Consider the following 26,352-nt stretch of genomic DNA (forward strand, 5'->3'; position numbering starts at 1 on the left):
AATCTATCTACAGATTCAATGCAAATTTCAAAGTAAATTATTTTCTTTCTTTCTTTTTTTTTTTTTTTTGAGATGCAGTTTCGCTCCTGTTGCCCAGGCTGTAGTGCAATGGTGCAATCTCGGCTCACCGCAACCTCTGCCTCCCGGGTTCAAGCAATTCTCCTGCCTCAGCCTCCCAAGTAGCTGGGATTACATGCATGCCTGTAATTAACCATGCCTGGCTAATTTTGTATTTTTAGTAGAGATGGGGTTTCTCCATGTTGGTCAGGCTGGTCTCGAACTCCCGACCTCAGGTGATCCACCCGCCTCGGCCTCCCAAAGTGTTGGGATTACTGGTGTGAGCCACTGCACCTGGCTATTTTCATAGAAATTGACAAGCTGCTCTTTCTAAATTCTATACAGACATGCAAAAAAATCAAACACATGAGAATTTTGAAAACAAAAATGAAATTTATTTCTGATATTCTTACTAAAATGTTATACTAACCAAACAATATGGCATTACCATAAGAATTGATTTTGAGGTCCCACCCAGGATTGATACAGAGCCAAAGGAACCCCCACCCCAGCCAAGAAAAATGGTGAGTGAATGTGCAACCCCAGGAAACCACACTTCTCTCAAAGATCTTTGCAACCCTTGCATCAGGCGATTCAGTTGTGAACCCACTCCACCAGGGTCTTGGGTCTGACACACAGAGCTGTGTGGAGTCTTGGTAGAACAGCTGCTCAGACACAAACAGAGTCCCAGGAGCTTTACATACCTCAGCCCTGGGACATCCAACAAAGATGACTGCAACTCAGGCAAGGTGGGAGATTGGTGCATACCCCTAGGAAGGGGGCTGAATCCAGGAGGCTGAGCAGCATCAGTTTGTGGATCCCACTTCCATGGCACTTCACAAGATAAGACCCACAGATTTGGAATTCCAGCTAGTTACTGGTAACAGTGTAGCACCTGCCTGAGATGGGTCAGAGCTTCTGGGTGAGGGATGGGCTGCCATATTTGCTGTTCGGATGACAAAGTCATTGCAGCCTGTGGGCTTTGGAGAGTCCAAATGATCTGAATGAGGCAGGGACCCCACAGCACAGCACAGCTGCTTTACCAAAATGTTGCCAGACTTCTTCTTTAAATGGGACCCCAATCCATTTCCCTCACTGTGTGAGTTCTCCCAGCAGGGGCCTCCAGCTGCCCCACCCATATTCTATGAACAGAGTTCTGATTTCTCTCTGGGATGGAATGCCCATGGTGGAGGGGCGCCCTGCCACCTTGGCTGTTTGGGGGACTAAGCCATTTAAGCCTGAGGGTTTGGAGAGTCCAAGCAGATTTGGGCAGAGGTGGTTCCCCAGCATGCCATGGCTGTTTTGTTGAAGCATAGTCCTACTGCTTCTTTAAGTGGGACCCCAATTCATTCCCCCTTGCTGGGCGGGTCCTCCCAGCCAGGGCCTCCATCTACTTCTGCCCAAGTTCTAAGGCCAATAGAGTTCTAATTTCTCCGTGGGATGGAGTGCCCAGGGGGTGCGGTGGGCCACCATTTTTGCTGTTTGGGCAGGTAAGTTAGTGCAGACTGTGGGCTTTGGATAGCCCAAACCATTTGAGAGCTGAAGGAATCCACAACACAGCACAGATGCTCTACCAAAACACAGCCAGACTGCTTCTTTAAGTAGGCTGCTGACCCCATTCCTCCTGGTTGGGTGAGACCTCCAATCCAAAGCCTTCAGCCACCTTCTACAGGTGTGTTCAGGCAGGCAACAGGTCAGTATGCATTCTGACCTGACAAAGGGGCAGGCTGCCATCTTTGCTGTTTCACAGCCTTAACTGGTGATACTTCCAGATACTGAAAAAGCCAAGGGCACCAGGGTCTGGAGCAGACCTCCAGAAAACCACAGCAGCCCTACACACAGTGGTCAGACTGTTAAAAGAAAAACAATAAATAACAAAAAATAACCACAATAACCCTATCCAAAGGTCAGCAATCTCACACATTGAAATAGATAAGCCCACAAAGATGAGAAGTGGCACAAAAATGATGAAAACTCAAAAGTCAGAGTGTGCCCTTTTCTCCAACTGACAGCAACACCTGTCCAGCAAAGGATCAGAACCAGGCTGAGGCTGAGATGGCTGAAATGAGAGAAGTAGGCTTCAGAATATGAATACAGATGAACTTGGCTGAGCTAAAAGGGCACACTGTAACTCAATGCAACGAAGCTAAGAATCACGATAAAACAATGCAGGAGCTGGCAGCCAAAATAGCCAGTAAGAAGAGAAACACAAACGACTTGATAGAGCTGAAAAACACACTACAAGGCCTCCACGATGTAATCACAAGTATTAATAGCAGAATAGACCAAGCGGAGGAAAAAACATCCCAGAGCTTGAAGACTGTCTTCCTGAAATCAAACAGGCAGACACAAATAAAGAAAAAAAAAAAGGAATGAATGAAACCTTAGAATATGGGATTGTGTAGAGAGTGAATATACAACTGATGGGGGTAGCTGAAAGAAATGGGGAGAACTGAACCAAATTGGAGAACATATTTCAGGATATCATCCAGGAGAACTTCCTCAACCTAGCTAGACAGGCCAACATTCAAATGCAGGAAATGCAGAGAGCCCCACTAAGATATTCCATGAGAAGATTACTCCCAAGACAGGTAATCATCAGATTCTCCAAGGTCAAAATGAAATAAAAATATCTTAAGGGCAGATAGAGAGTAAGGCAAGGCCACCTACAAAGAAAAGCTCATCAGACTAACAGCAGACCTTGTGGGGGTTCAGACAGACTGGTGAAAAAAGTTTTAGTTATAATAGCCATAAACCCTCTTGGAAGGCCTGAGGGTTTTGCAAAACTTCGGTAATAGATCTGGCTGAAGGCGGCCTGGTCACTTTACCTTAAGTTATTAACTTAGGGCACAAATACAAACGGATGTAGAGTAGTTTATCTAACTACCTTGTTTACTCATGTGGTCCTCAGACTAACCTTTGATCTTGGGTGCTTAATTGCTTTCTACTCGCGAAGTCGGCAATGTCAATTACCTTCTAGTGGTGTTTACTCAAAGTTTTGTTACTTAATCTTTACCAAATAAATGCAAGTTTCGCTGGCTGGTTGGTGTGGCGGCTGCTACTCCCTACAGCACCTCTGTTAGTCTGTGAGGCAGCCTGGACCCTCAGTTGCACTGGCAAAGCAGAATATCTGCATCAGTATACATTGTTCATCCGTCATTGAGTCAGGGTCAGCGGGTCGGACCCCCGCAAGACTTCTCACTGGAAACCCTACAAGCCAGAAGAGACAGAAATAACAGGCTGGGCACAGTGGCTCATGCCTGTAATCCCAGCACTTTGGGAGGCTGAGGCAGGCAGATCACTTGAGGTCAGGAGTTTGAGACCAGCCTGGCCAACATGGTGAAACCCCGTCTATAATAAAAATACAAAAAATTAGCCAGGCATGGTGGTGCATGCCTGTAATCCCAGCTACTTGAGAGGCTGACGCAGGAGAATCGCTTGAACCTGGGAGGTGGAGGTTGCAGTGAGCCAAGATCATGAATCGCACTCCAGCCTGGGCAACAAGAGTGAAACTCTGTCTCGAATACATACATACATACATACATACATACATACATACATACATATATATATATATATATACCTATGTAGGGACCAGCCCCACAGAGTCTGTGGGTTTTTCTCTCCGTGTGCGGAGATGAGAGATCGTAGAAATAAAGATACGAGACAAAGAGATGAAAGAAAAGACAGCTGGGCCCGGGGGACCACTACCACCAAGACGCAGAGACCGGTAGTGGCCCCGAATGCCTGGCTGCCCTGTTATTTATTGGATACAAAGCAAAAGGGGCAAGGTAAAGAGTGCGAGTCATCTCCGGTGATTGGTAAGGTCACGTGGGTCACGTGTCCACTGGACAGGGGGCCCTTCCCTGTTAGGTAGCCGAAGCGGAGAGAGAGAGGACAGCTTACGTCATTATTTCTTTTACGCTCTTTTCAGAAAGATCAAAGACTTTAATACTTTCACTAATTTTGCTACTGCTGTCTAGAGGGCAGAGCCAGGTGTACAGAGTGGAACATGAAAGTGAAACAGGAGCGTGACCGCTGAAGCACAGCATCACAGGGAGACGGTTAGGCCTCCAGATAACTGCGAGCAGGCCTAACTGATGTCAGGCCCTCCACAAGAGGTGGTGGAACAGAGTCTTCTCTAAACTCCCCTGGGAAAAGGGAGAGTCCCTTTCCCGGTCTGCTAAGTAGCGGGTGCTTTTCCTTGGCACTGATGCTACAGCTAGACCATGGTCTGCTTGGTAATGGGCATCTTCCCAGACGCTGGCGTTACCGCTAGACCAAGAAGCCCTCTAGTGGCCCTGTCTGGGCATGACAGAAGGCTCGCACTCTTGTTTTCTGGTCACTTCTCACCGTGCCCCCTTCAGCTCCTATCTCTGTATGGCCTGGTTTTTCCTAGGTTATAATTATAGAGCAAGGATTATTATAATGTTGGAATAAAGAGTAATTGCTACAAACTAATGATTGATATTCATATATAATCATATCTATGATCTATATCTAGTATAACTCTTGTTGTTTTATATATTTTATTACACTGGAACAGCTCGTGCCCTCAGTTTCTTGCCTCGGCACCTGGGTGGCTTGCTGCCCACATACCTAAATGGTTTTTATGATATTATTATTACATTTTGTTCTTAATTTTCAGTATGTTGATTGCTGTTATATAAAAGATTTAACCTTGTCTATTAATCTTGTATTTTGTGACATTAATAAAATTTTTTATTAACTGAAGTATGTTTTTGGTAAATTTATCATAGTTTTTAACCCAATATTATGGCAAGATAATAGTATCCTACTTCTTTTCTAATCTGAAGATTTTATTTATTTTTCTAGTATACTTTTCTGGCTAATACTTCCAGGACAGTGTAAAAACAGAGTGGAAAAAGTGTACATTCTTGTTCCATTTTTAAACTTACAGATACAGCCTGCAATCATCTACCGTTAAGTATACTATTAGCTATTGATTTCTTTTTTTTTTTTTTTTTTTGAGACAGAGTCTTACTCTGTTGCCTAGGCTGGAGTGCAGTGGCTCAATCTCGGCTCACTGCAACCTCTGCCTCCCGGGTTCAAGCGATTCTCCTGCCTCAGCCTCCTGAGTAGCTGGGATTACAGGCACACACCACCACGCCTGGCTAATTTTTGTATTTTTAGTAGAGATGGGGTTTCACCATGTTGGTCAGGCTGGTCTCAAACTCCTGACCTCCTGATCTGCCCACCTCTGCCTCCCAAAGTGCTGGGATTACAGATGTGAGCCACCGTGCCCAGCCAGCTATTGATTTCTTATAGATGCTTTTTAGCAGGTCTTACAAGTTCCTTTCTACTAGATTTCTGAGTGTTTTATCATGAACGGGTGCTGGATTTTTTATACTTTTTTTGCTTATTTACATTGACACTTTTTTCTATTGTTCAAGTAACATTTTGTAATATTTTGGTTGATTTTAAAAATATTAAGCCAACACTCCATTTGTGACAAACTATTGCTTGGTTATGGTATGTAATCAGTTTTACATGTTGCTGGATTTAGTGTGCCAACATTTCTTTTTTTTTTTTTTTTGAGATGGAGTCTTGCTCTGTCACCCAGACTGGAGTGCAGTGGCACAATCTCGGCTCACTGCAACTTCTGCCTCCTGGGTTCATGCGATTCTCCTGCCTCAGCCTTCCAAGTAGCTGGGACTACAGGTGCGCGCCACCACGCCCAGCTAATTTTTGTATTTTTAGTAGAGACAAGGTTCCACCATGTTGGCCAGGATGGCCTTGATCTCTTGACCTCATGATCCGCCTGCCTCAGCCTCCCAAAGTGCTGGATTACAGTCATGAGCCACCATGCCCAGCCGTGTGCTAACATTTCTAATAACTTCATCAGGAATTCTATATTTATATGGAATTTTAGTCCATAGTCTTCTTTACTTGTGATTCTTTTGTCTGGCTTTGGTATCACAGTACCCCTAGCTAGTAAATTAATAGAAAAATGTTACCTCTGCCATTGATGAAAGTTTATGTGAAAAAATTATATTACATTTTTATTAAATGTCAGTGAAATTCAGAATTAATGCAATTTGACACTGAGCTTTTATATGTAAAAATAATTTAATTAATACTTTCTATTGTTATATGGGTATTCACTTACTCTCATTTAATATATATGGATGTATATTCTTCATTTTTGCACAATGAAAACTGATTTCTCAGCATTATTTGTTGAACAAACTTCCTCCATTGGAATTTCTTGGCATCTTTGACAGAATTATTTTTACCTCAAATTAATACCTTCAACTTTATTCTTTTAATCTACACAAATCAATTCCTATGGTAGTACTATATTCTTTGATTACCATAACATTATAACTATAGCATTACTATCATAATCTTTGCCTATCAAGAGTTTTTTTTGTTTTTTTTTTAGACAGTGTCTTGCTCTTATCGCCCAGACTGGAGTGCATTGGCGCGATTTCGGCTCACTGCAACCTCTGCCTCATAGGTTCAAGTGATTCTCCTGCCTCAGCCTCCCAAGTAGCTGGGATTACAAGTGCCCACCACCACACCCAGCTAATTTTTGTATTTTTAGTAGAGACGGGGTATCGCCATGTTGGCCAGGCTGGTCTCAAGCTCCTGACCTCAGGTGATGTGCCCGCTTTGGCCTCCCAAAGTGCTGGGATTACAGGCGTGAACCACCATGCCCATCTGGACATTTATTTTTTTATTTTTTGAGACACCGTCTTGCTCTGTCAACCAGTCTGCAGTGCAGTGTGATGATCTTGGCTCACTCCAACCTCTGCCTCATGGGTTCAAGGGATCCTCCTGCCTCAGCCTCCTGAGTAGCAGGGACCACAGGCATGCACCACCACATATGACTGACTTTTGTAGTTTTGGTAGAGATGGGGTCTTGCCATGTAGCCCAGGCGGGTCTTGAACTCCTGAGCTCAAGCAAAAGACATTTTTTAATTTTATACTAGTTTACAAAAGTTTATATCCTAGATACTTGACATGAAATAATATGAAATAAAAATATAAAATAGGCTGGGCGCAGTGGCTCACGCCTATAATCCTAGCACTTTGGGAGGCTGAGGCTGGAGGATCACCATATCAGGAGATCAGTACCATCCTGGCCAATATGGTGAAACCCCGTCTCTACTAAAAATACAAAAGTTAGTTGGGCGTGGTGGCGGGTGCCTGTAATCCCAGCTACTCAGGAGGCTGAGGCAGGAGAATTGCTTGAACCAGGGAGGAGGAGGTTGCAGTGAGCCAAGATCATGCCACTGCACTCCAGCCTGGGCTGTAACTTAATCAATAAATAACACAAATTTTACTCCATTATTAAGATGGAGAATATGACTATAATTGTGTTAGTTAATACTTATGTTTACTGTGGGAGACAAATTAGTTACTGAGTAGTTAACTGAGTAGTTAGAAGTTAATAACATTGCAATTTGACTTTCGAATGTATAAAGCTGGCAAACGAAGCCTCCCTTCTATATTTATCAACATTTAAGTAAGACAAAATGAATTTTAATAAGAACAAATAAAAAATAATTATATTGTATTTAAAGAAAGCTATGAACAAAAGATAATCTGACCATCACAGTCATTAGTATTTCATTCATACAATATGTAAGACAATATTTTAAGCCATTAAACATTTTTAGACTTAACACCTAAGAGTTTAAAGTGAATATGTTAAATATTTATTGAATTAAAAACTGGTACCTTTAAAAATTAGATTTTAATTGAAATATAATTATTAGGCCGGGCACAGTGGCTCACACCTGTAATTCCAGCACTTCGGAAGGCCAAGGCAGGCAGATCACCTGAGGTCATGAGTTCGAAACCAATCTGACCAAAATGGTGAAACCCAATCTCCACTAAACATACAAAAATTAGGCGGGCGTGGTGGTGTGTGCCTGTAATCCCAGCTACTTGAGAGGCTGAGGCAGGAGAATCACTTGAACCTGGGAGGCAGAAGCTGCAGTGAGCCAAGATCACACCATTGCACTCCAGTCTGGGCAACAGAGCAAGACTCCCTCTCAAACAAACAAACAAACAAACAAAAGATTATTCACAAAAATGGAAGTAAAATTTCCACAAATGTATAGAGCTAAAACCAGAGAAATAAATATAAATGGAACTGAGAGAAATTGTCCTTAAAGCTGGAAATGGATTCTTACAATACCTTCAACAAAAAAGGGTAAATTATTTTCAAAAGAAAAACATTAATTTGGTTATCAATAGGAGCTTCTTAAGTGTGTAGTTCAAGAAAAAAGAAACATTTTTGTGTCTAAAGTTAAAAATAAAAATGAAAGAGTAAGAGACTTGACTTGGGAGCTGACATGTTCTTTTCTCAAGGTTATCAGTACCCGGCAGCCTTTCAACTACAAACAACATTCTAGAGTTGACAAAATATTTGTATATCCCATCTCTTCTCTGATCTTTATATGCTGTTTGGCTGTGCAAAATAGAGGCTAAAGTCCCATTTTGCAGATGAAAAAGCTGAGGCTCGGAAAGACAAACATCACACACAAAGTTTGGGTCACAACTGGCATTAGAACACAGGACTCTCAAACCAGTGCTTTCCCATCACTAAACCACTCCTAGGGCTAAGAATACATTAAGACTCCAAAAGATAGAGAATTGCTCAATGCATTCCACCAAGATTAGACCTGACCCACCCCAGAAAGCTAAGCCGCTCTGGGGCCCTGGGGTGGAAAACTCAAGAAAAAGAATGATGCCTACATTCACACATCTGAGCTCCAATCCAAACTCGGCCAGTCAGTTATAGAACCTCATTTGCTGAGCCTCAGCTTTTTCTGATATAAAATGGAACTACAGAAGGCTCCAAAAAGATCAGGATAAGGGCAGAACTGCACTCTAAATGCAGGAGTGCCTGGCAGGTGGAAACCACTCACTGACTTTTAGTTTAAGCACATAAGTAATATGTTGTGTTTCACTGTGTCTCCTCCATGGTGTCTGTTTCATGGCTCCAGATCCTGGGGGCTTCTGATCAATCCTTCTGCTAAGTGATGGACGAATAGATGAATGGATGGGTGGTTGAAAGGGTGGATGAAATGATGCATAGATGGATGAATGCTCAGGAGGGCAGAAAGAAGTAAACACAGAGTCAAAATAAGAATGAGGAGATGATTGAAGGATGAAGAGTTGATGCATGAGATAGAGACATGGTCTCCAACCCTCCTATCCCCACACAGCCTCACCAACACCTGCCTTGGGGTAGCAGTGGCACATGCTTCAGATGATGTCCCCAGTCACCATGACATAGCTGCGGAAGGTGCCATAGACCTGAGGCTAATCATGGCTCATGAGAAACGTGCTAAGAGCCAGCAGAAAAAACCCAGCAGCACAATAAAGTCGACGTTGAAACTCTTCTCATCTGCAATGGCTGCCTGGCCAGGCCATAGACTATGCACTCCTGGCAGAGGGGGTGCATGTCATCCAGCATAAACACCCAGACAGGCTCACAGGGAGGGACGAAGCTCTGCGATTGCTGCCAATTGAGGCTTAAAGTTAAAGGGAGAACAAGACCCCCTCAGGTCCAGACCCAGTGCCTGGGCCCACAAGTTCAGATGGCAAGAGGCAGCACACTTCAGTGAACAATTGCACCCACCCACCCACTCACCTTCTCTCCTCACCATCCTGCCTTCTCTGCAGGCTAAGCAGTCCTGCAGGGCATGTATGAATCTGAATGAGAGAGTATGCAGGAAAGAGAGAAGGGAAGATTACCAGGACTGGGCCCCAGCCAAGGATTTGACATCACCTTATTTGCCTACTATAGGGATGAACTAGGTGGTCAAGTGGCCGTATTATTTCACTGTATTAATACAAATACACCTTCCAGCCCTGGGAAGCAGCATACAATTGCCAAGAGACGTTAGAATGCTGCTGGAGGATTCCAGGGTCTCACAGTCTGGATTTTAGAGTCCTGAATTTTAGACTTTTCAAGGACATGTGCTCCTCTGGGGTTCAGGCATAATAGACTATATTTACCGATGGTGACTGTGTGCATGACGCCATAACATGTTACACTATTAACTCACTTAAGGGACTCCATGAGGCAGGTACTGCTATCTTCACTTTACAGAGGACACTGAGCACAGGCAAGTAACTTCCCCATGGTCACACAGCTGGAAATAGCAGAGCAGCTGGGATGTGCACCCAGAGTCTGTGTACTTAGCCACAGTGCAATCCTGCATAACTACAAAACAAACTTATGTGTGTGAGCATCTATCCGCCCAAGCAGACAAGTGTCAAACTACGCGAATGCTGTCCAAGCACTGCGTGAGCATACACTTCTCTGAAAGCGTTCTGCTCATCAACAGGGCCAGCCAGTGACTTTTCTGATCGCTTAATGCACCTATCCAGTCTCTTCACAGGCGGCTCCTGGGGTCTGCCGGGGGTGCTGGCGTCGGGTTGGCCCTGGCGCTGTCCCCAGCCCCCACTCCCCAGGCCCTGCAGCGCCATGAGGTCGGACTCCTGGGCGTGTCCTGGGTTCTGACCCACCCGCGACGCCAGCTGCCCGCGCCCGGAGCGGATGGGCCTGGCCCGGCTCCACCCCGCGGGGCTCCGCGGCTCAACGGGTCGCCCAGGGGCGCGGGCCCGGCTTCGTCCTCGACGGTGTCCGCCCCGGCCCTGGCTAGGCCGACGGCAGCCGGGTCCGGGTGGGGCTCGGGCTCGGGGCGCGCCCCTCCCATCTCTCCAGGGTCCGCGTCCTCGCTGCCGCCAGGTCCCGCCGAGATCCCCGGTGGCCCCGGCTCCAGCGGCTGCAGCGTCGCCATCGCCGGGCAGACCCCGGCCGACCTCAAAGCGACCGCGCGGTGGGGCCGGCGGGGACTGGGGCTGCGCAGCGCGGCCTGGGGTGGGGGCGGCGGGGCCCCCAGGAGCTCCTGGGAACCGAGGGTCCTGGGGCGGTCCCGCCCCGCACAGCTCCGGGTGAGCTTGGGGAGGGAGACACACTCTCAGCCCACCTCGCCCCGCCCGACAGCGCTCCGAGTCCTGAGTCCCCTCACCCCCATTCTACAGACACGAAGGTGAAGCCAAAGACGGGACGCTCACTTCCTGAGAATTTGCTGCCTGCTGCGTGGACACCACCGACCTATTGTTTACAGCGGTCAGGGACCCGCCCCCCAGACCCCCAGGACCGCGCTTCCGGGGGAGGAGGGTGTCCTCAGCAACGGTGACCCGCACCAAAGCCCTCCTCACCGGGGTCACCGCCACAGCCGGTGCGAGGCCCGCAGGGCGCTGGGGATGCGCGACCGACTCCCGTGAACCTGCTCCTCGCGCGTCAGGGAGAGCTGTGCACCCAACTAGGCTCTGTGAGGACGGACTGAGGTCGGCCTGCAGGCTGCGGCCCCGAAGGCAGGATTTGTGGAGAGATGATTCGCGAGCCTTGGAGGAAGGATGGGCTGTGCGTGCGTGGGTGCGTGCGTGTGTGTGTGTGTGTGTCTGTGACTTTTGTATGTTTATGTGAGACTGCGTACGTGCGCGCGTCTGTGTGTGCGCGCGCGCGTATATGTCTGTGTGTGTGCGTGCGTGTATAATTTCTAAATGGACGTCACCTTACACATCACAAGGTTAAAAAATGACCCCTGGGCTGTGCCAGGCCAAGCACGAAGAGAAAGCCCCGCCTGAAACTGCCTGGAGGCCCCCCGGCTGTCACTCTCGCCACATTCCGTGGAGTATGTGGTTGCAACTTCTGTCACTCAAGGTCTGATGGCGGGGAGATTGGAGCCGTATCCAATCAGCGCACTGGAGTGAAAACTGCCCAATCAGGCACGCAGCCAGAGAGGAGGCGGTGGCTTCCGGGATGTGGCGCGGGTCTTTGCGTCTGGCTACTACCAGACCGCGGGTTAGGGGCTTCATCTCTCTGCGTTCTCAGTTGTGGGAGGCCTTGGTGATTCGGCCACAGCTCAGCCTCCGTCGCTCTGTGACCTGCGGGTATTGGATGATTGGTAGCTAAGACTCCCGAATACTTCAGAAGTGGGGAAATGGTGAGTGTGCGGGGCAGGGCGTCCCAAGGCTGAGGAGGTCTCATCGGAGCTGGCGGGAAATGGCGGCGGGACCGAGTCTGCGAACGGAGTCCCCGCTGCCGCCGCTCAGCCCTGGGGCCTCAGTACCCTCCGGTGAGGGACCTGGGCTCCTGTCGGTCCCCGCACAGCGGCTCTGGCCCAGCCTGCAGCCCTCCTTGTGCAGCTCTGCGCCCGCAGCCCCGCACCTTCCCCAGGCTGTGGGGTGAGGAGTAGCTTATCTGGAAGCCGCCCGCGCGGCGTGCGCGATGCCGGCGTGGGAGGAGCTGTGGGAGAAGCTGTGGTCTGGGGATCCCGTCCCTGCTTTACCCTGTTCGGAATGAGATCGAGGCCCCATCAAAACAGAGTTCATGTGAGCAAATGGGGACTCATTAATGGGACAGCGCCGGCCGTGGCTCGTGGTTTGGGGGCTGCCAGCGGGTCTTGAAGGAAAAGCTTTTGTGAGGTGTGTGAGGAAGCGAAGCAAATCACCCGCCCGCTCCAACTTGCCCACCAGTCTCCTTGCCCTGTGCGCCTCCTCCGCGTGGCTGTTCCTGAGTGGCATCTTTTAGAATACGCTAGTGTGGGCGCGCACAGCGCTTCGCTGAGTTCTGTGAGTAGTTCTGTCATATTATTGAACTTGAGGAGGGTGTGGGCCCCTGGTTTGTAGACAGGTGTTCAGAAATGAAGACGGGTGTCCAGAGGCAGGGACTGGCGTCTGCAGGGGGGCAGCTGCGGGAAGAGCGCTGAGCTTGTGGGGTCTGTGCTGACTCCGGGTGGTGTCGTTAGTGAGTTGTTGGACAGCCCGTTGGGGTCGGAGCATTGACTGGTGTTGAGCAAACTCCTCACGTTTCCTGTCAGAAGAAAGACATGGCTGAGCCTGGGCTGGAGGGAGTCGCAGGTGTCCGCGGGAGACCAGCCGGGTTCTGCACATGCACTGTCCTGCTGCGCACTGTTCTGTTCCTCCAGGTCTCCTCCCGGGGAGAGAGGGCGCTGAGAACTTGGAGGAAAGGAGTTCTGAGAAACATCCCTTCCCTGCACCCTGCTGCCAGCCCCCACCCAATGCTAACCCACTCCTGAGCCCGCCCATTGGGCATTCGCACGGCCACACTTGTCCCAGGACAGGGTTCTACCCTCAGGAATTGTGCCCATGGCAGCTTTGCTCCTAGGTTTTTCTCCCAAGAACACACACAGTGCCCAGAAGACTCCTGGTTCATTTTAACCCCAGATCTGTAGCAGGAATCTGTTTTCTTCACCCACCCAGGCTTTTGGACCACCTGATCCTAATCTCCTCTGCCTTTATGGGCTCAGGAATCAGTTAGAGCTTAGCCCTGCCTGGGCCTGAACTTGTAGCACAAACCAGTCCTTTCGTCAATCCTGCCTTGCCCCCACTCAAGGCTCTTGATAGCACCTTTCTTCTGCTCTTTTCTTCCCCACAAATCCTCTTTCCTGTGCACACAGTTTGCTCAAGTGCATCCCTCATGTGCTACAAGAATTCAACGTTAGTGAGTTCAAGACCATGCCTTTAGACCTGCCTGTTGTAGGACCAAATACAAATCAGAAGAGGCTTAATGCTTTCTCTTTAGAATGAGGAAAGAATTTTTACTCTTCTCCCTTAAAGCATTTAGTTTGAAAACTTTTATATTTAAATATTTTCTCTGCTTCTTTGAAATATATATAACTCATTTTAATCTGTTAACTAGGTGATTTGTCTTTTTTGACTCAAAATTGTCTTTAGGACATGGAAACTATTGCTTTGAAATGTGCATAGCAAGAATATATAACCTATTCCGCAATTTCTGTAGCAGAGTAGGAGGCTGCCTTCAGCAGGTACCTGCCTTCACATATCAAATCTACCTCCTGTCCTGAAGCTGTGGGAAGTTTATTTTCCCTTTGAATATTACCAATTAGGAAACCCGGATGACCTCCCAAATTACTAGGTGAAAGTGTAATAAACTATGTATGATACATGGTACTGTCAAGTCTTCTACTTGAGAGCTAATTATGGTGACTTTCTTTGTTTTGGCAGTCTCTTAGTAGACTGCCTGTAATGCACACCACATTTTGTTTAATTCTCTAACAACACATTTTCTTGCTGTTCTATTATTTTGGACAGTATTTTAGGATTGTAGATGATTTTGCTGTTATATTTTCCACACGCTGTCAAGAATTACTAGATGTTATACACAAAGTGCCCACCAGGCTTCGTTTTAGAGAAGAACCTTCTTTCTCAGGATTCCAGTCACAACCCACAGTTGTGCAGCAAAGTGCACGAAGTGCAGCAAAGTGCTCCCCAAAGCTGCAAACAAAATGATCTCTCTATTTGGGATCTACAATCCCTTCTATAGCAGTTTGACTAGATTTCTACAAAAATGACTTTTTAGGATAGCGATCAGTTTTTCCACCTCTTTCAGTGTGCCAATGATCTTCAGATCTGACACTGATTCAGAAATCATGGGGCCCATAAATCCAGCGAGGTTCACACATGTGCATTGATTAAACCTGAGAACTTCCATTCTCTCCCTTCTCCCCTTGCCCAAATGCCCACAAATGTGCTTACCAGCCCTCCAAGTCTTAAATGTGCAGTTCCAAATTCTGAGTTTATGTCCTGGGATTTGAGAGAAGAACAGAACTTTTGTTTGAGAAATACAAGTTCTTTTAATTACGAGACCAAGTGATGTGTTAAAATGAGACCACAGTCCTACCGTTCCCCTCTTTGAACTGTTTGTCTTTTGAAGTTGTTTGCTATTGCCACAAGTGGATATAAATTAACCTAATAATGCCATACTGGACACTATAACCCACACCTTATAGCTTAACAACGTACATAGCCAATCACTAACCAATGTTACTTCTATAAACCAATAAGAATTTCTGACAGCTTTCTATCAGTTCCGTCTGCCTTTCTTTTTGCCTTTAAAAATATACTTGTAACTGCTTCTAATTGGAGTGTATATTCAGGGCAGCTTTATAGTCCAGGGTTGCAATCTTCAAGCTTTGGCCCAAATAAACTCTCTTCTTATATTATGTTTACCCCACCTTTTTCCTTTTAGGTCAAAAAAACATTTTTCTTTTTTTTTTTTTTGAGACAGAATCTCGCTCTGTCGCCAGGCTGGGGTGCAGTGGTGCGATCTCGGCTCACTGCAACCTCCGCCTCCCAGGTTCAAGCAATTCTCCTGCCTCCGAGTAGCTGGGATTACAGGCGCACGCCACCATGCCCGGCGGATTTTTTATATTTTGTAGTAGAGATGGGGTTTCACCATATTGGCCAGGCTGGTCTTGAACTCCTGACCTTGTGATCCACCCGCCTCAGCCTCCCAAAGTGCTGAGATTACAGGCGTGAGCCACCGTGCCCAGCCTGTTTTGTGAGTTTTGATGCCATTATGTGAATGGCTATTCATTGACAGAAGAGAAGTTGTTATTATTTGTATTGTGTTTACCTTGCTAAGAATAAATATTTAGCTTCTAATATAATTGTTCTAGAGAAACATAAGGGTTTTGGTTAAATTCCTTGTTACTGTATGTTATACAAAAGACAGAGAAGTGGCTAAAATAGATTAAAATTTCACAAATTCTGGGAATCAAATTTCTCTTGGGCAGGCTTAGAAAAGACAAAACCGAAAGTACTTAGTGACATAGAGAGCAGAAGCCTAGGGCCCACTTTCTGTCCCATCCCTGCCCAGATCTACCCTCTTCTGATCCTTGTCCAGGTCTGAGCCAACACTGAAATCTCTCACAGAACTGATTAATAGAGGAGATCAGAGTTTAGGGTGGCTACTCCAGTCTCCTCTCCAGAGCTGGTGCCCACAATTTTCTGAAACCCAAAAGCCAATAAATAGGGAAAAGCTATATACTTTGGGGCCTTAAATCTTTTCTATAAAATTAAAACTAATGTTTCTAGAGACATCCCACCCAGCAACCTGTTCTCTATCCCTGCAGTTTCAGTGGCTTTTTCTTACAAGTCTCAAAGTAAATACAAACACAAAAATAAAAAAATTCCTCTGAATTGTACTTAACACTTTCTTTGGCTCTCTCCCATCTATTTATATTTAGCTATTATTCTATACATTTTTTTAAAAAGTCAGGGGAAACAGAAAGGAAATGGAAATTCTGGGCCCTGCCTTTAAATCTGGGAAGTATGGGACACCTAGTGTCTACCTCCCAGGATGTTATGAGAATTAACACACATAATATGAGCTTCCCATCACAGTGCTCTGTGACATACATCTGAGCACATATTACATGCCCCATAAAGATGGCATTAATGCAGATGCACATGTTGTTTTTCAGATACAGACTTACTCAGACATTGCCACCGTCTCCAACTTCTGTAACCTTATAGGGTCTGCAGAGAATGCCATGTTTGAAGATGATGATTGGTGGTCTTGGGATGAAAAGTATTTGTGTTGTGATAACGGTGTTGGGGTAAGGGACTCTGTGTGCTGTGTCTGCTTTCTCTAACTGAGTGGTACTATAATGGGTCTAGAGGGAGGAGCGTCAGCATTAACAGGAGACTTGCTGTAAAAAGCTAATTCATGGACCCTTTTCAAACCTGCAGAATTTTGTTACTTACAGTGAGGCCTACAATATCAAATAATGTATATGTACAATGAAGCTTGAGAGGCAGTGCTTAGCTAAGTGACTCTCAGCCCAGTCTTCCAGTAGGATCACATGGACAGTTTGAAGAGAAACCATCAGCTGTGTTCTGCCCACAGATCCTGTCCATTGTTCTGGGTGAAAAGTCCTTATTTATTTTATTTTTGATTGTTGTTGTCCCAGATTTATTGAAAATAATACAGCACTACAGAAAAAATTCAAACAGGTCCCCGAGGCATTTTGAAATTCATCCCAACTGTAGGCTGAGTGACCTGAAGGTTGAACAGACTGCCGAAGTCCAAAAGCTTCAGCATTTCCTTAGTGTCAGGATCTACTTCAATTATCTCCTGATCCAAGGCTGAGACCTTATTTTTTAAAATCAGTTCCTTGCGTGGTTAAAAAAGTATTAAAAAAGTTCCTTGCATGATTAAAAAAGTATTAAAAAAGTTCCTTGCATGATTAAAAAAGTATTTAAAAAGTTCCTTGCATGATTAAAAAAGTCCTTATGTTTTAAAATCAGTTCCTTGCATGATTCTACAGCAAGGCCAGGGTGAAGCATGAGGGCTTCCAGATACTTTAGTGAAAGGTGAGTTCACCCTTTGTTCCAGGAGGTCACAGGGCCTACTCTGCTTGATTTTGGTAGGGGAAGGTCAGTGTAGCCCATTATTTTTATTGCAGCAACAGAAACTCTTGGAATGCCATCCTTTTTCTGCAGAGCTATAGAATACTTTAGAGAATATTACTGCGTTGAAAGTTATTTTATCAGATAATCCCAGTCAGTCACATGTCAGAACTAGCGCTCTCAACTCATTTCACCTGTAGTCAAATTAAGAACTATGTCCCTTCGGCTGGGCGCAGTGGCTCACGCCTGTAATCCCAGCACTGTGGGAGGCCGAGGAGGGCGGATCACAAGGTCAGGAGATCAAGACCATCCTGGCTAATATGGTGAAACCCCGTCTCTACTAAAAATACAAAAAATCAGCTGGGCGTGGTGGCGGGCACATGTAGTCCCAGCTACTTGGGAGGCTGAGGCAGGAGAATGGTGTGAACCTGGGAGGCGGAGCTTGCAGTGAGCCGAGACTGCGCCGCTGCACTCCAGCCTGGGTGACAGAGCGAGACTCCGTCTCAAAAAAAAAAAAAAAAAAAAAAAAGAACTATGTCCCTTGATATATTTGTATTTTCAGGAACTCTTAACATTCAGGGATGTGGCCATAGAATTCTCTCCAGAAGAGTGGAAATGCCTGGACCCTGACCAGCAGAATTTGTATAGAGATGTGATGTTGGAGAACTACAGGAACCTGGTCTCCCTGGGTGAGGATAACTTCAATACATAATTCCTAATTTTTCTCAGAGCTTTATTTTATTCCTTTGAAGAATTTCTCCTGGGAACTTTTATGTTTTATCTTTACATAAACCTTCTCTTTTCTTGAGCTAATTTGAGTCCTTCACTCTAGGTTAGTGGTAATTCTAGAAATTCAATGACATAAAATATTGTTTCCCACATCTTAAAATCCAATTTGCACCACTTATTTTTTATTCGGTAGTACTTGGTAGTGGAACTTAGAACCCGCAGATTTAAAATACTTAAATATTCTAAAGATTCTGTCAGGAAACAATTTTTGGATTAATTTTCTAGAATCTTCCATAATATCTCTATTCTGCTTAGCGTAGTACTAGGTTGGTAATTGGAGAATCCCCATCAATAGTCATGTTATTATTTTTTTTAAAATAAAACAGGTGTTGCTATCTCTAACCCAGACCTGGTCACCTGTCTGGAGCAAAGAAAAGAGCCCTACAATGTGAAGATACATAAGATCGTAGCCAGACCCCCAGGTAGGTGAGAGTGAATGGAGGAGAGGGCACAGGCAAGGGGACCAAAGGTCAAGAAGGAAGCCAGGCCTTAAAATGTGGTTTGGGGCCGGGTGCAGTGGCTCATGCCTGTAATCCAAGGACTTTGGGAGGCCGAGGCAGGCGGATCACGAGGTCAAGAGATCGAGATCATCCTGGCCAACATGGTGAAACCCCGTCTCTACTAAAAATACAAAAATTAGCTGGGCATGGTGGTGCGCACCTGGAGTCCCAGCTACTCGGGAGGCTGAAGCAGGAGAATCACTTGAACCCAGGAGGCGGAGGTTGCAGTGAGCCAAGATCACACCACTGCACTCCAGCCTGGTGACAGAGTTAGACTCCGTCTCAAAAAATAAAATAAAATAAAAAATAAACCAGGTAGTTTGGGAAGCTCTGCTCCAGTGAAAATAATTTCTGAAAAAGCTGCATTTTTTCTCATGTTCACAAATAGGGGCATCTTCTGTTCCATGCTGTTAAATCCAAGAATTCTCTTTTTTCTTTAGTGATCTCCCTTTAAGTTTACAGGGAGAGCTAATGTCCACTTTATCGCTTATAAGGGGCTGCATGATGTGACTGCTGTTCCATTGCTTTTGGAGACACTGGAATATTTGTGTTACTGAGGAGCTGTATGTCAAAGTATTTTTTTCAAGTATTCTTTTCGTATTATGTCTAAAATGTGTAACGTGAGTAGTGGACATAGTGGGATTTGGTTCAGAAATCCCAGGAACACCAAGGACAGATGTTGCCTCTTTTCTACTTAGTGTTTTTTAATCCTATGGAGGCTGCAAATGTAATTCTACAAAAATTCTTACTTAGCAATTTTATCAGAACAATAAGCATTTCCTAAATATGAAAAAAAGTAATGTTATTTTACTTCAAAATTACTGTTTTAGTATAAACTCGTTTGTAATGTAAACTCTATATGTGCAAATTTTGAAATTATAATATAGTTTAAAGCATGGATTTCCAACATTTTGGCTTCCCTGGGCCACATTGGAAGAAGAATTGTCTTGGGCCACACATAAAATACACTAACACTAATGATAGCTGATGAGCTCGGATCATCTGAGATCGGGAGTACAAGACTAGCCTGACTAACATGGAGAAACCCTGTCTCTACTAAAAATACAAAATTAGCTGGGCGTGGTGGTGCATTCCTGTAATCCCATCTACTTGGGAGGCTGAGGCAGGAGAATTGCTTGAACCCAGGAGACGGAGGTTGCGGTTTGCCGAGATTTTGCCATTGCACTCCAGCCTGGGCAACAAGAGTGAAACTCTGTCTCCAAAAAAAAAAAAAAAAAAAAAGTTTTTGAAAAATTTTTGTGATATCCTCCACCACAGAAGATAAGCAAAAAAAGTCCTTGCATTCAAAGGGTTGGAAACCACTGGATTAAAGTATCTACTCACCTTCTATATTTCTTAAATGCACTGTATCATTAACAAGCATAAATGTGCTATGTCATTAACCAGCATAGAACATTACTAAGTGTATATTAAGCTCTCAATTGTTCTCTTATTTGTTAATAGCTATTATAATTTTGTCTTAGTAGGAAGTCTGTTGAGATTCTGTCATTGAGATGTATCTCTCTGTAGCTATATAAAAATGTGTGTCTCACACACACACCTATATAACTTATTTAAGTGTGTAGTAAATTCTCACTTAACATTGTTGATAGGTTCTTGGAAACTGAGGGAAGCAACATATTAAGAAAACTAATTTTACCAGAGTTTAATTGATAACCAGAGTTTAAAAGATAACGAGTTATGTTTGAATGGCATATAGCAACATTATTTCATTTAACAATGCAGTTTTTAAGAACCTAATTTGAACATTAAGTGAGGACTTACTGTACATCTGTGTTTGTGTGACATGGATTTTTCTGATAAATAAAAATTATGTAACTTTATATTTAATGTGTACAATGTAATGATTTGATATGCATCTACATTGTGAAACAATATAGTCAAGTTCATGAAGAAATCTATTACTTCACCTAGATAACCATTTTGTTTGGTAGTAAGAACACTTAAGGCCTACTGTTGTAGCAAATTTAAAGCATACATTATAGTATTAACTATGAATACAATGCTATTTTGGTAATCTAATGCTAATATACATTAGGTTTCTCAGATTTACTCAACTTATAACTAAAAATTTGTGCTCTTGAACAACATCTCATATTCCCACCCTAGGCACTAACAACTACCATTCTGCTCTCTGCTTCTATGAGTTTACGCTTTTAGATTTCCTATCTAACTGAGAAAATTTAGTTTCTTTGTCTTTCCGTGTTTGGCTTATTTCATTTAGCATAATGCCCTCCAGGTCTATCCATGTTGTAAATGGCTAGATTTCCTTCTCTTTTATGGTTGAATAGTGTCCTGTGTATGTGTGTGTATATATATATGTATATACATGTATGTATATATATGTATACACACACACACACACCGCCCCCCCCATATATTGGCTACTGTAAACGGTACTACAATAAACATGGAGGGGAAGATAGTTCTTTGAGGTACTAATTTTATTTCCTTTGGTAGTATGCCCAGAAGTGGTATTGCTGGATTATATGATACTTCTAGTTTTATTCTTTTTTTTTTTTTTTGAGATGGAGTTTCACTCTTGTTGCCCAGGCTGGAGTGCAGTGGCACGCTGTTGGCTCACCACAGCCTCTGGGTCCTGGGTTCAAGCAATTCTCCTGCCTCAGCCTCCGAAGTAGCTGGAATTACAGGCATGTACCACCATGCCTGGCTAATTTTGTATTTTTAATAGAGACGGAGTTTCTCCACGTTGGTCAGGCTAGTCTCGAACTCCCGACCTCAGGTGATCCACCCGTCTCAGCCTCCCAAAGTGCTGGGATTACAGGAGTGAGACACCACGCCCGGCCAAGTTTTTTTTTTTTTTTTTTGAGACTGAGTCTCTCTCTGTCGCCCAGGCTGGAGTACAGTGGCAGGATCTCGGCTCACTGCAAGCTCCGCCTCCTGGGTTCACGCCATTCTCCTGCCTCAGCCTCCCGAGTAGCTGGGACTACAGGCGCCTTCCACCACACCCAGCTAATTTTTTGTATTTTTAGTAGAGACAGGGTTTCGCTGTGTTAGCCAGGATGGTCTTGGTCTCCTGATCTCATGATCCGCCTGCCTCGGCCTCCCAAAGTGCTGGGATTACAGGCGTGAGCCAAGGAGCCCGGCCGCGCCCAGCCTAGTTTTATTCTTTACTGTATTTTTGTAAGTTTATCAATTTGCATCTCACCACCAGCATACAAGATTTCCCTTGTATGTATTTCTTCTTTGGGAAAAAAAAAAAATCTAACCTTTTGCCTATTTTCGAATGGGTTATTCATTATTATTGTTTTGCTTTTTTGCTTTGAATTGCAGAAGTTTGTTACACATTTTGGATATTAACTTTTTTTTTTTTTTGGAGACAGAATTTCTGTCGCCCGAGCTGAAGTGCAGTGGCACGATCTTTGCTCACTGCAACCTCTGTCTCTCGGGTTCAAGCGATTCTCCTGCCTCAGCCTCCCGAGTAGCTGGGATTACAGGCACGTGCCACCATGCCCAGCTAATTTTTTGTATTTTTAGTAGAGACGAGGTTTCACTGTGTTAGCCAAGATGGTCTCGATCTCCTGATCTCATGATCTGCCTGCCTCGGCCTCCCAAAGTGCTGAGATTACAGGCCTGAGCCACCACACCCAGCTGGATATTAACTTATCAGATATGGCTTGCAAATGCTTTTCTATTTTGTAGGGTTTTTAAAAATTTTGTTTTTATTTTTTCCTTTGATGTGCAGAGGCTGTTTACTTTGATGCAGTCTCACTTGTTTATATTTTATTTTGTTGCTGTGCTGTTGATGTCATTTCAAAAAAAGTTATTGCCGAGACCAATATCAACAAGGTTTTTCCATATGTTTTCTTCATGAGTTTTAAGATTTCATGTCTTAATTTCAGTCTTTGTTTTGAAGTCTGAAATTAGAAAGCATGATGCCTGCCAGACAAGGTGGCTCACACCTGTAATCCCAGCACCTTGGGAGGCCGAGGTGGGCGGATCACTTGAGATCAGGAGTTCAAGACTAGCCTGGCCAATATGGTGAAACCCTGTCTCTACTAAAAATATACAAAAACTAGCTAGGGGTGGTAGTGGGCGCTTGTAATCCCAGCTACTCGGGAAGCTGAGGCAGGAGAATCACTTGAACCCAAGAGGCAGAGGTTTCAGTGAGCCTAGATCACTGAACCTAGATTGTGCCACTGCACTCCAGCCTGGGTGACAGAGCTGGACTCCATCTCAAAAAAAAAAAAAAAACAAGTATGATGCCCCCAGCTTTGTTCTTTCTCAAGATTGATTGCTCAGGTTATTAAAAGTCGTTTAAGGTTACACCTAAATTTTACAATTGTGTTTTCTATTAGTGTGAAAAATGCCAATAAAATTTTGATAGGGATCACATTGAATCTATAGATCACTTTGGATAATATTCTTTGACAATATTAGTTATCCTAATGGAATATGTTTCCATTTATTTGTTTCTACTTCACTTTCTGTCATTGATATCTTATTGTATTTAGTGTATAATACTATATGTTTTTTATGTCATTTGGTTAAATTTATTTTGATTAACTTTCTTATTTTTATACTATTGCAAATGGAAATGGTTTCTATTTTTGGAAAGTTTGTTTTTACTCTATGGAAATGCAAGAAATATTTGTATGTGGTGCCAGGTGCAGTGGCTCATTTCTGTGATCCCAGCACTTTCAGAGCCCAAGGCAGTTGTATCATGTGAGTACAGGAGTTTGAGATAAGCCTGGGCAATAGAGTGAGGCCCTGTCTCAAAAAAAAAAAAATCCCAACAAGCATCTATATGTTGATTATGTATCCTGATACTTTAATGAATGCATTTATTAGTTCAATCAATTTTTCTTATTTTACTCTAGGGTTTTATGTATATGCATGATGATATTATCCACAAACAGTAACTTTTTTATTTCTTTTCCACTCTGGAGAGCTTTATTCTCCTTTTCCTTGTCTAATTGTTTTGATACAAACTTCCAGTCACATGTTAAGATAGAAGCTGTGGCCCTGGAGGCAGGCCTGCAAGTCTTGTCCCCGGCTGTGGTCTCTGAAGCAGCCCTGTGTCTGCATTTGACAAATTTCACAGTTTGTATAAACTATTTTTGGCAGGTAAAGATCTCCTTTTGTTGAGTCCCAGGCTGATGAGATTACCTCTGGGGTTGCAGAGAAGAAGGGTTGTAGCTGGGTCACAAGGGTGCTGCTGGGTCTGCTGTGGGGTCTGCCTTTGATGATTGTATTACCAGAGATTTGGACAGTCATGGATTATTTCTGGGCCCTGGAGAGATTAGATTTCCTTGAGGATATTAATCTATATGGCAGGCAGTAGACTAGGGTTTTGAAGTTTGTCTGCATATGATGGGCCAAATACCAGGTGTATGAATGGGTTTGGCTTCTACTGACAACCTGGGAACAGTTTCCACACTTTTCTCTTTGGGTCCCTGATTGTGTACAACTGGCCATGGACTGTGACTGTGAGGGCTAGAACTGAGTCACAGGGCTCAGGAGCACAGCTGAGGCCAGGATATACAGGCCTGCCTCCAGGGCCATGGCTGGGTGTGTATCTCCCTGCAGGTCTCTTGATGGGAAGGACCACGTCTGGACTGTAGCTGAGATTGAATTTGAGAGAGGTTACAGAACTGCTTCAGAATCCTCAGTAAGACCAAGCTCAGTGTGCCATTTCCTTGTCTGTAGCCATGTCTATGGGCTCTTGAGTTGGCCATCTGAGTGAGGGCCTGCTTATTCTAAATAACCCTCGATCTCTGGCTCCACTGAGGTTTCACAACCCTAACCATAGGCAAGCACCTTTCTACTTCTGCTTTCTATGTGCTTACTACTTAAAATATTGTATAAAAATGGAATCATGCATTGTCACTTTGTTAGCGTCTTATTTCACTAAAATAATGGCCTCAGGATTTATCCTTATTGTAGCATCTGACAAGACATTTTCATTTGAAGCTAAAGAATATTTCATTGCGTGTATAAGCCACATCTTTTAAAATCTTTCATTCATTGAAGGATGTTTGAATTTTTTCACTTTTTCACTTTTGTAAATTATACGGTTTGGATCTATGTCCCCATTCAAATCTCATGTCAAATGTAATCCCTATTGTTGGAGGTGGGGCCTTGAGGGAGATGATTGGATCGTAGGGTTGGCTTTTCATGAATAGTTTAGTACCAGCCCCTTTGGTACTGTCTTTGCCATAGTGAGTGAGTTCTCCCGAGATCTTATTTTTTATTTATTTATTTTTTGAGATGGAGTCTCGCTCTGTGGCTCAGGCTGGAGTGCAGTGGCATGATCTCGGCTCACCGCAAGCTCCACCTCACGGGTTCATGCCATTCTCCTGCCTCAACCTCCAGAGTAGCTGGGATTACAGGTGCTTGCCACCATGCCCGGCTAATTTTTTGTACTTTTTTTTTTTTTTAGTAGAGACGGGGTTTCACCATGTTAGCCAGGATGGTTTGGATCTCCTGACCTCATGATCCGTCCACCTCAGCCTCCCAAAGTGCTGGGATTACAGGCGTGAGCCACCGCGCCCGGCCTGAGATCTTATTTTTTAAAAGCATGTGGCACCTCCCCTCTCACTCTTGTCTTGCTCCTGTTCCCACTGTGTGAGATGACTCACTCTCCCTTTGCTTTGTGCCGTGACTGGAAGCTTTCTGAGGCCTCCCCAAAAGTAGAAGCTGCTGTGCTTCCTGTACAGCCTTCAGAACTATGAGCCAGTTAAACCTTTTTTTTTTTTTTTGAGACAGAGTCTCGCTCTGCCACTCAGGCTGGAGTACAGTGGCGCGATCTCGGCTCACTGCAATGTCCGCCTCCCAGGTTCAACTTATTCTCCTGCCTCAGCCTCCCGAGTAGCTGGGACTACAGGTGCCTGCCACCAAGCCTGGCTAATTTTTTTAATTTTTAGTAGGGGCGGGGTTTTACCATGTTAGCCAGGTGGTCTCCTGACCTCATGATCCGCCCCTCGGCCTCCAAAAGTGCTGAGATTACAGGCGTGAGCAACCATGCCTGGCCGGAGAAACATTTATACTTCCATATACTTGTTGAAGTATAAAATGTAAGTGCCTTACAATTTTCTTTCCTCCTAAAACATAAGCACTGAGTTTGAGGCATTTTCCTGGATTTTTCAACCACTGAGTTCTTTTTATATAAAACTAAGTGAATAACCTTGACTGGGAATCCGAGACCTAAGCCTGTTGACTGCAGGGTAAGGTCAATCTTGATTCTGCCAAAGCAGGTCATCAATAGCCCCGTAATGTGTTGCTGGTGAACCTTTCTTTCAGGTGTCTCAGCCTGCTCAAATTAGACAGGGAAGGAGCCCTGGAAAGCTGGGTATCCACAGGCAGAGGCAGTGAGGGTTTGGATGAGAGGAGGTTGTGATATCCTCTGAGAGGGTGTAATTGTTATTGTCATGGGGCTGTTTCTACATATTGTCAAGTAAAATAAATTTTGATGTAGGTAAGAAGTGAGTTTATTCTAAGGAGTATTGCAGTGGGGAAAGCATCAAGCATAAGACCTGAAGTCATCTCCAAAATGAGGCAGAAAAAGGCTATTTTTCATACAGAGGAGCAAACAAGATTAGAAACAAGGTAGGAGGGCCAGGCATGGTGGCTCACGCCTGTAATCCCAGCACTTTGGGAGGCCGAGACGGGCATATCAGGAGGTCAAGAGATGGAGACAATCCTGGCCAACATGGTGAAACCCCATCTCTACTAAAAATACAAAAAATTAGCCGGGCGTGGTGGTGGGCACCTGTAGTCCCAGCTACTCAGA

General features: G+C 44.6%; 1 protein-coding gene and 1 non-coding gene across 9 annotated transcripts in view, besides 5 other annotated features; both read left to right on the forward strand.

The window, feature by feature from the left end:
* Nucleotides 10,594-10,653: a silencer, noted in NCBI's record as "silent region_15096". NCBI's record gives its function as "represses an Ori minimal core promoter by ATAC-STARR-seq in GM12878 lymphoblastoid cells {active_cell/tissue: GM12878}" and the evidence as "EXISTENCE:reporter gene assay evidence [ECO:0000049][PMID:35858748]".
* Nucleotides 10,884-10,993: a silencer, noted in NCBI's record as "silent region_15097". NCBI's record gives its function as "represses an Ori minimal core promoter by ATAC-STARR-seq in GM12878 lymphoblastoid cells {active_cell/tissue: GM12878}" and the evidence as "EXISTENCE:reporter gene assay evidence [ECO:0000049][PMID:35858748]".
* Nucleotides 11,008-11,523: an enhancer, noted in NCBI's record as "H3K27ac hESC enhancer chr4:330727-331242 (GRCh37/hg19 assembly coordinates)". NCBI's record gives its function as "activates a minimal SCP1, AML or CMV promoter by ChIP-STARR-seq in naive and primed H9 embryonic stem cells {active_cell/tissue: H9 hESC(naive and primed)}" and the evidence as "EXISTENCE:reporter gene assay evidence [ECO:0000049][PMID:30033119]".
* Nucleotides 11,629-12,589: an enhancer, noted in NCBI's record as "NANOG-H3K27ac-H3K4me1 hESC enhancer chr4:331348-332308 (GRCh37/hg19 assembly coordinates)". NCBI's record gives its function as "activates a minimal SCP1, AML or CMV promoter by ChIP-STARR-seq in primed H9 embryonic stem cells {active_cell/tissue: H9 hESC(primed)}" and the evidence as "EXISTENCE:reporter gene assay evidence [ECO:0000049][PMID:30033119]".
* Nucleotides 11,634-11,733: an enhancer, noted in NCBI's record as "active region_21126". NCBI's record gives its function as "activates an Ori minimal core promoter by ATAC-STARR-seq in GM12878 lymphoblastoid cells {active_cell/tissue: GM12878}" and the evidence as "EXISTENCE:reporter gene assay evidence [ECO:0000049][PMID:35858748]".
* The window catches only part of ZNF141 (zinc finger protein 141), a 47,055-nt gene continuing 32,586 nt past the window's right edge, over nt 11,884-26,352 (forward strand). For 4 of the 8 annotated variants that reach the window (NM_003441.4, NM_001348278.2, NM_001348280.2 and 1 more), the window contains exons 1-3: nt 11,884-12,056; nt 17,852-17,978; nt 18,405-18,500. In NM_003441.4, coding sequence (NP_003432.1) covers nt 12,054-12,056; nt 17,852-17,978; nt 18,405-18,500 — 226 coding nt within the window. In that variant the 5' untranslated portion in view covers nt 11,884-12,053. The other 4 variants (XM_047416147.1, XM_017008591.3, XM_011513562.4 and 1 more) reach the window with 4 other exon arrangements.
* MIR571 (microRNA 571) lies at nt 24,227-24,322 on the forward strand. Its single transcript, NR_030297.1, has one exon. It is a non-coding gene; the product is annotated as a microRNA 571 (primary transcript).

Source organism: Homo sapiens, chromosome 4 (assembly GCF_000001405.40).
Source record: "Homo sapiens chromosome 4, GRCh38.p14 Primary Assembly".
Classification (NCBI taxonomy): Eukaryota; Metazoa; Chordata; class Mammalia; order Primates; family Hominidae; genus Homo; species Homo sapiens.